At 43.6% G+C, this 9807-nt stretch overlaps 1 annotated feature.

Moving 5' to 3' along the window:
- Nucleotides 8888–9088: a silencer, noted in NCBI's record as "peak854 fragment used in MPRA reporter construct". NCBI's record gives its function as "represses an SCP1 promoter by STARR-seq MPRAs in K562 erythroleukemia cells {active_cell/tissue: K562}" and the evidence as "EXISTENCE:reporter gene assay evidence [ECO:0000049][PMID:32103011]".

The following is a 9807-nucleotide window of genomic DNA, read 5'->3' on the forward strand; positions in this document are numbered from 1 at the left end:
ACCTCCCAAAGGTGCCACCTTTAAATACCATCAACATATGAATTTGGGGATTAAGTTTCCAACACATGAAATCTGGGGGCTACATTCAAACCATAGCAGATGCTAATTCAGACACCAAGAAGAGTCACTAAAACAGCAACAATTGACTCTTGACTTTGAAGTGTTGTTAGATGATGTCAAGTACCCTATTGCCCACAATAGCACAAGAGAGTATAATATTTATGAGCCCATATTCTGACGCTTGCTGGAATAACAGCACCTCTGCTGATTAGGGGAAATCATACCTACAGTAAGCGTATTTCAAGAGCTGGCACCCATTGCAAACCAGTCATCCACCTCTTCCCTGAAAGGGACTAGGCATTGAAGTTTTTCTTATGCCAAGAAAGTACTTCTTTTACTCCACATGCCGCCAGTGTTCTCTGTCAAGAGTGAGAAGTTGAGATAGGAGGAAATAACAAGGAGACTTTCTAGAACCATCCAACTGAAAGGAGCCCTAGAGGCCACCCAGACAAGTGCCCAGAGGAGCTGGGTGATTCTCCCAAGCTCCCCCAGAAAGTCAGTGGCAGATCTGAGGTTACAACCAGGTGACCCAGTGTTCTTTGCAGAATGTCCCACTATTCAGAGGGCAATACCATTGAGTGGTGTCCCAGAGGGTGGGATTGAGCCGGGCTGCCTGGTTCAAACACCAGCCCTGCCACTTACTCACAGTGTTAGTGGACAATTTCCCTAACTTTTCTGGGCCTCCCTTTCCTTGGTCTGCAATAAATTGGACAAACTGCTTAACCTCCCTGGTCACCAGTATTCTCCTCTACAAAATACGGTGATAGTAATACCTTCTAGGAGTGTTGAAATGATTTAATCACTTGAGACATTAAAAAGAAAAAAACACTTGGCTCATGATAGAAAGAGCACTCAAACCTTAACTTTATTATCATTGCCTCTCTGAGATGGGTGAGTATGAGTTAGACAATGACTTTGCCTGAAAAGAGCCTGAAGTTGTTTAAGGAAGACAAAAAAGATTTAATAAAAATTCTTTTGGTTGTGGAAATGGTTAACGATGGGTGTGAAAGCCGAGGAATAATTACCCTTCACTGGGGTACCGTGGCAGCCCTTCAGGGACTCCCCCGGCAGAGCCAATGGGCCTGTCCTTGGGGAAGTTGTGAGCTTGTTCAGACCGGGTCCTTGAATAACACAGTAGACCACCCCTTTAGGGTGGCTTCATGGTTGAGGGAAGGAAGGCCCCTAAGATCAAAGCCCCTAAGAACTTCGACCAATGTCCAGCATCCAACAGACCACTTGGGGTAGAGGCATGGGATCTGAGCTACGGTTGTGGAGGACTGATGTCAGCAGAGCCCAGGGGCTGCAGGGGTTGTGGTGGGAGGTGGGGGACTTAAGGATATCACCCAGCCCACAACAGCCCTAAATAACCCTGTGGGTCCAGGTCTTCTCACTTGCTTCTGGATCTAGAATGAGTTCCTGGGAGAGAAAGTAAGAAGTGAAGGGAACATCAACAGTACTGGTGGTCAGAGGGTTCCTGGTACTTGGTACCACTGCCCAACACTCAAACCTAAAGTCACTTTGCTGAAAAGATAGCAGCCATTCCAGGCAATATTGTAAAAGTTGTGTTATCTTAACATTACGCTTCCTTGTGAAAGTCATTTTCCATACTCTCAGTAATTGCTTTAAAATGAGATTTTTATCAGTTCTTTTCTGCTGCACTTTGAGATTGATGCCTGTGAAGTGTTAGAATGCAGAGCTCAACTTAAGGCCAAAGCACAATTCGAAACTTCTCTCACCCCATCCACCAAGATTTGTCTTCACTCTTTCATCCGTTCATTCAATAAACGCTAAATGAGCATTCTGCATCAGACACTACATTGAGGAGGTGCAGATGGGAGCTCCCGCTGAAGAAATGATGCAATATGTGTGTATCTTAAACTAGGATCCCTAGAAAGACTGACACAGACAGCTGCATGCAGAATGTCTTGAGGGAGTGTTCCCAGGAGATACACCTGTGAGGACATGAGAAAGCAAGACTGGGCCCAGAGAGAAGATGACCCAGGAAGCAGCTGCAACAGAGGTCTTGGCTGCAGCTGCAACAGAGGTCTTGGCTATACCTGCAGAGAGCTCTAGATTGTGGATAATCCTTCTATGTTGTCTCAAATTGAGGCAAGGGGCTGGCACTTCAGATGTCTGCACCAGCAGTCATTGGCAGTGAACCACGCCAGAAGGGTGAATAGTGACCTTGGGTGGGGCTGTTTCCTGCCCAGTGAGGGGCCCAGCTGTGAACCATCCTGCCATCCTGAGAATCTCTAGAACTATAAACAAAATTCATCAAGCCACACTGATGGCCACATCCTTTCCCCTTAAATGATGTGGGGGCATACTCCCTCTCCCTTGAGCTACACCTTCTCCCCATGCCCTTAGAACATTCAAATGAGTAAAGGGAAAGAGTTTTCCTATTAACATATCCCTCCAGACAAATGAGAACTCAGATCATCTGACCTAATGCTTCACATTTGCTGAGAGTTTAATTAGCCAGAAGAGCACCTATTGCCTCATTAACCCTCTAACTGTGGGCCATTAGCAGTTAGAAAAGCAAACACAGCAGCTGAACAAAGCAAATACACGCTGGCCATCGCTAAGGTTGAAGATTGCCCAGGTGGTAGTTACCTGGGCAGCAAGTTGTTGCTAATCCTGTCTAGGTGAGCATGGCTAATAGGCCTTCTGTGTCTTAAAGCAGGACACCGTGAAAGGGAGATGGGAGAGTAAACCAAGACAGCCGCCAAAGGCTCCGTTTCTTTGTTTTGCTGAGGAGCAGGCTGAAAACACGGAGTCCGGGCATGTTGGTTCCTGGCCACACATCTGCAGCGCCTGGACAACAGGGTCTGGGGTGTGTGGTTGGGTGGAGGGAGGTGAAGGTAAGGTCAGAAAGGTGGAAAGAAAGAGACAAAGGACTGCCCTTACTGTAACATGGACATTGACGAGCAGAGCTAAATGCAATGGAAGAATAGAGAATAAAGGCTGAAAGCTGTTGTGTAAAGGAAGAAGAGCAGATGTTAGAAGTCATCTCACAATTTATAATCCTTTGGGTATATACCCAGTAATGGGATGGCTGGGTCAAATGGTATTTCTACTTCTAGATCCCTGAGGAACCGCCACACTGACTTCCACAATGGTTGAGCTAGTTTACAGTCCCATCAACCGTGTAAAAGTATTCCTATTTCTCCACATCCTCTCCAGCACCTGTTGTTTCCTGACTTTTTAATGATCGCCATTCAACAATGATAGACCGGATTAAGAAAATGTGGCACATATACACATACTATGCAGCCATAAAAAATGATGAGTTCATGTCCTTTGTAGGGACATGGATGAAGCTGGAAACCATCATTCTCAGCAAACTATCGTGAGGACAAAAAAACCAAACACCGCATGTTCTCACTCATAGGTGGGAATTGAACAATGAGAACACATGGACACAGGAAGGGGAACATCACACACCAGGGCCTGTTGTGGGGTGGGGGCGGGGGGGAGGGATAGCATTAGGAGATATACCTAATGGTAAATGACGAGTTAATGGGTGCAGCACACCAACATGGCACATGTATACATATGTAACAAACCTGCACGTTGTGCACATGTACCCTAGAACTTAAAGTATAAAAAAAAAGAAAAAAGAAGAAGTCATCTCAGAATTCATCTGGACCACTCCTCCTTCATTTTAGAGAAAAAGAAACAATAACCCAGAGAAGAGCGATGCCATGCCCAGGGTCACACAGATGACTCATGACGGAACGCAGATTAAAACTTGTTCTGATTTCCATTCCCGGTTTCTATCCACCTCCCCAAGGAAAATAGAGGAAAAGGAGAAAAGAAAGATGACAGGGGACAAACTAGAGGAACTAAAAAGATAAACTAGAAAAAAAAGAAAATACTGAAAACTTAAACTGGGCAGGAGAAGAAAACAAGCAAAGAAAAAACAGCCATCAAAAATGATGCTGATTCTAAAATCCATGTGCACCAGAAGAGCCAAGAAAATTTTGAAAAGGAACAAGATGTGGAACTAGTCCTTCAGATTCCAAATATTCTAGAGGTATTGTAATCAAAGTAGTGTGTTACTAGAACAGTAATTTAAAACATTTTGATGGTATGGAGCAGGAGGTCCAGAAACAGGCCAATGTCTATACATGGAGTTTAGCACATGATAAAGATATCATTTTAACTAGTGGTATTTGGATGGGGTTGAGGGGGACCACTCAGTAACGGTATTGGCACTATTGGCTGTAAATCTGTGGGGGCATTAAGTTAAATCCCTACTTCACACCATTTCCTCCCCAAAACTGAGAGATGAGTAACCTCAATAAAAATAGCAATCAAAATTAGGCAATATTTATAAATCATTAGGAGAAAATACAGTCCTGCATAGCTAGGAAGATGGGAGCCTTCATACCCAATGCACACACACACACACACACACACACACAAAGCCAAAGGGAAAAGGAAAGATAAATTTGACTATGTTAGAATTTAAAACTTCCGTTTTATAATAGAGGCCCAAAATAAAGTTAAAAGTCAAGAGATAGTCCAGGAGGAATATTACAAATATCTAATGAAGAACTCGTAGCCGTACAAGATAAAGAACTTCTCAAATCAATACAAAAAGACAAAAAAAGTTAAAAATTGACAAAAGGCAAGCAATTTAAAGAAGAGAAAATGAAAATATTCAACTAGAATGTGAAAAGTAGATTAGCCTCACTTGTGACCAGGGAAATGCCAATTAAAGTAAAATGAAACACTTCATACTCACCCACCTGGCAAACTGTTCATGTTTGATGACATGGGGAATATGGACCTCGTACATTCACAACCAGCTGGCGAAAGTAAAAATGGGTACAATCACATTGAACAGCAAAGCAGCAAAATCTATTGAAGCTAAATTCCCAAATTCTCACTTTCCTGTTTAAGCAAATGAATAAATGACTTGTTCTTGTAGTAAAGAGAATCATATTGACCAAAAAGTTAGAGATGGAATGTCAGCGCAGGAGCCTGGGTGGGAAAGGATGTTGGAATCTCATGATATCTCAGCCCACAAGTGGGGCCAGAGAAGGGCACAGTCAGAGCCAGGTGCAAGAGCAGAGTGCAGAGAGAGGACAACCCAAGGGTCCCCACTGTATCCCTCCTCGCTGGTGTTTAAGACCACTGCCTCCTCTGGCTCCCAGACAAGGAAGACAGCTCTGCTGTCAGGTTATGTCATTTTCTAAACCTCAGGGATGAACTATTTCCGGTTGGCAAGTGAGCGAATTAAATTCCTTAGTGGCAGGGTCAGTCATGCTAAATGAGAAAGTTGACTCAGCCGGGCAAGACAGACGCATGTCATTACTCATGGCAGGGTCCCCGCACGCCTGCTGCTGAGTCCTCCTTGGCCTCCCTTCGTTGAGCTGACTCATTCTTCATCTCACTTTTCTGTGCAGAGTTGCTGGAAAGGACACGTGGGGGGCCCAGATGGGAAGGAACATCCCCCAGGTGTTGGTTACACAGGAAGTTGAAAAGCTGTCAGATCTGGGACAAAAAGAGTGAGCTGACTTCCTGTACTGTGGGTTCCTAAGGGTACTGGTGAGACAATGTCAGAACCAGGCAGGGCGCTAGTCAGGTTGAACACATGGAAGTGAACTAGCTAAAGAGGGGAAGGCAAGGAGACACTGGGTACTCAGCAGAGCCAGGTGTTCAAGGCCCTTGGTCCCTCACATCCCTGGAGGAACTGTGTCTACCTTTCTCTATTGCTTAAAACCTGAGTTCCAGGGTTTCTTTGTCATGCCTGACTCTGACACGCTGTGTTTCTGGCCCCAATTCTCATTTGTGCTCTAGGATCACCCTCTGCTCCTGATCCAATAACAGTAATGATTGTCGTTCCCTGGGTGCTAAGCATAGTGCTCTAGTACTAGGCACAGTGCTCTCCCTGATCCAGTCACAGTAATGGTCGTCATTCCCTGGGTGCTAGACACAGTGCTGTAGTACTAGGCATAGTGCTCTCCCTGATCCAGTCACGGTAATGATTGTCATTTCCTGGGTGCTCGAAATCCCCAGGGATATTTTTATGGGTCCTGGTATGTGTATTTTAACAAAATACACATACCAGGACCCATCAAAACCCTCTGAAATAGAATCTATAGGGGTGATGCCTAGGAGGGGCCATTGAGGATGACTTTTGATAGAAATCCACCCATCTGGACTCTGGGGGCATCCTGGCTTTGACTGATCCCATCACAGGGGAAGAGACCAACCTCCTTCTCCTACCATTGAGCCTCTGCAGGATCCCCATCCTGGGTACCCAGGCTATTTAGCTTCTTCCTTCGACCTCCTCCCTCAGAGAGATATTATAACTCAGGCTGCATTCCAAAGCCAAAACCCTCACTGCCATGAGGGTTAAGAAGCATTGGTTCAGGCAGCCCATACCTCTTCTCTTTCTCAGACTGTGCTTGGAGGCTCCTTCGGCAGAGGCCACCCAAATCCCAGAGAGAATCTTTGAGTATGCCACACCCATCACTCAGAGGTCTTCAAAATAAAATGCTAATGGCAACCAGAAATAAGACTGTTCTACCCCCAGATTTCATGGTAATAAGGAAAGAGACTGTGAATCAGGGAAACAAAAGGGTAAGGGGCAGGAAAGGTCAAAGCAAAAGGGAGTGCGTAGCCCATCACCCAAAACAGCACCCAACCCACCAGTCTCTGCAATTAAGCACCAAATACGAAAGTAATTAAAATAATAACAATAGCTGAGCCGCTGCGCTGGGAAGAGTGTACAGGAGATGAGGGGGTGGTGGCCTTGACCTCATGCACTAAGAGAACATAAAGGATTTTTCTAAATGCAGAAGCCACCCATTGAACAAAGTGTTAAGGGGCCACTGGGAGAGGGAGCAACTCCCGTTCTTGTCCAGAGAGGAGGCCAGCGCCACGCAGCACAACACAGGGGTTAAGATCAATCAGGGATTTCAAAGAAAAGACATGCCGTAATTAAAATCCCAGTTCCTCCACTTTCTACTTTGGGACCTCAGACACAGCCTCTTTATCTGTTATCGGGAATAGTCATTGTATCTACATCACATGGCAAATGTCAAGTGTTAGTAACCTGACAACTGGAATTAAAATTATATAAGCGGAACATTTATCTCAGTGCCTAGGTCTGGGTATGAGCTCAACAGATGGTTGATAATCATTCATGTAACATAGTTTCCTCTCCCAATTTCCACTTCTGACTTCTGGACAGGTGCTGGGTAGGGACCTCGTTACTCAGTCTCATTTTCTCCACCCACGAAAAGAGAATAATTACCTCTGACCCCAATCCCACTTAAGTCTTTATTTCCCCAAAGGGTTAACACATATCTAACATCTAAAAAGAAATATTTCATCAATCTAGTGTAAAAAATGCATTTTCAGGATCCCATAGGCATCACCATTCCTGTTACCCAAACCCTGGTGAGCCAACAAATAAAAAGTTATAGCACCTCTAAAAGGGCCCAGCAGCCAGAGAGAGAAAGTACCTACAAAACATTCACAACACACACCCAATAAAATACAGCCGTGCATTGCTTAACGATGGGGATACATTCTGAGAAATGTGTTGTTAGGTGATTTCCTCATTGTGCAAACTTTATGTGCTTACACAAACCTAGATGGGATAGCCTACTACACACCTAGGCTAGACGGTGCAGTCTATCATTCCTGGTCTACAAACCTATACAGCATATTACAGTACTGAATACTATAGGAAGTTATAATACAATGGTAAGCATTTGTGTATCTAAATATCCACAAACAGAGAGAGAGTACAGTCGAAACATGGTATTATAATCTTATGGGACCACTGTTGTATATGTGGTCTATCATTGGCCAAAAATTATTATGAGGCATATGACTGTCCCTGAAGAAGAAAGATGAACACCTGTGATAGAAGATAATAAGAATAGTTGACCGGGCGTGGTGGTTCATGCCTGTAATCCTAGCACTTGAGGGACTGAGGCGGGCGGATCACCTGAGGTCAGGAGTTCAAGACCAGCCTGGCCAACATGGTGAAACCCCGTCTCTACTAAAAATACAAAAAAAAATGAGCCAGGTGGTAGAGACATGTGCCTGTAATCCCAGCTACTGGGAGGCTGAGGCAGGAGAATCACTGGAACCTGGAAGGCAGAGGCTGCAGTGAGCCGAGATCATGCCACTGCCCTCTGGCTTGGGCAACAGAGTGAGACTCCATCTCAAAAAAAAAAAAAAAAAGAAGAAGAAGAAGCAAGGAGACCCCAAAAAAGCATAAAAAAGACTCCAGGAGCTTACCAGAAAACATGTTTTGGATTTTAAAATGTAGTACATATAAACTAAATGTAAAAAATGTGCCAAAGTACAGAGAAAAAAAAATTGAGATGAAAATCGGGGGAAAGAGAAGACACTTGAAGGACAGCTCTGGGAGACCTCGTAGTGGATAAACAGGATTTCCAGAAGCGGACAAAAACATTGTAATGCACTAACAGGGACTGTGTTTACCATCCTGCCTTAAGCAACTGGAACGCCAGCCAAAATGCATGAAACTGATTTCAGACACTGAATAACAGAAGCACAGGACTTCCAGGTTCATGTGAGAATGCCCTTGCTAAGATTATAGATTATTACTAGGTCTCAACTGGCTCAACCCTTGACTACACATCTTTTTAGTATTCCTTGTGACCAAATGGGAAATATACTCTGCTGAGCACCTGTTAAATCAAGTTCAGCCTAAAGCTGCCTCCTTTATGAACTTACATATTTTACGTTTGGCCTAATGATTTCTCTTTACATCGTGAGCTATAACAAGTGGAGGTGTAACCAGACTGCAGCCTACACTTGTGCCAATCACCGAGTTTTGGGCAATTAGATGTAACCAACTGTTTGAACCTTGTTCAAAGAAGGCAAATGCCAAGCTGTAACCAATGCAACTGTTTCTGGGCCTCACTTCCTTTTCTATACGTCACTTTCCTTCCTCTGTTCATAAATCTTCTTCCACCTTGTGGCTGTGCTGGAGTCTCTGAGCCTACTCTGGCTTTGGAGGCTGCCCGATTCATGAATTGTTCATGGCTCAATTAAACTCCTTTAATTTAATTTGGTTGAAGTTTTTCTTTTATTCCACCAAAGCACTGTGGTTGTTTCAAGGAAAGGCATTTAGACAATTGTTTGCATCTCAAGCTGAACAAGTCACTTTTTCAATAGAGCTTTATTTTTACTGGAGAGAACAATTGACAGACATTTAAACCTGGGAGAATACGTGTTTATCTGCTGACCTTCTCTCCACTATTATCCTATGACCCTGCCACATCCCCCTCTCCGAGAAATACCCAAGAATGATCAATAAATACTAAAAAAAAAAAAAAAAAAAAAAAAAAAAAAGAATGTACAAACAAAAAAAAAATAATACTCCCTTGTGGGCTGGTAATAAACACTGGGATGCAGACTGAAAAAAGAAAAGAAAAGAAAAGAAAAATTTAGGAGAGCTAGTTCATAGATTTCAAGGTAAGTTGTTTATGCTTTCCAAAAATTTTAATTGAGCAGTCTAGATATTCTGATGTCCTCTGTTACTGAAAATTACTTTTGTTGCCAAATGTCTGTGTGCATATAAATGTGGATGTGGGGTTGCTGCAGTAGAGAACTTTTCATTTCTTTATGGACTGTAGCAGAGTTTCCACTTGAAAGTAATGTCCACAGGAGAATATAATATTTCAAGAACTCAAATAAAATAAAGTCTTACGGGTCACCTAAAAAAAAAAAACCTGAGTGAATAGCAGA

Source organism: Homo sapiens, chromosome 10 (genome assembly GCF_000001405.40).
Source record: "Homo sapiens chromosome 10, GRCh38.p14 Primary Assembly".
NCBI lineage: Eukaryota > Metazoa > Chordata > Mammalia > Primates > Hominidae > Homo > Homo sapiens.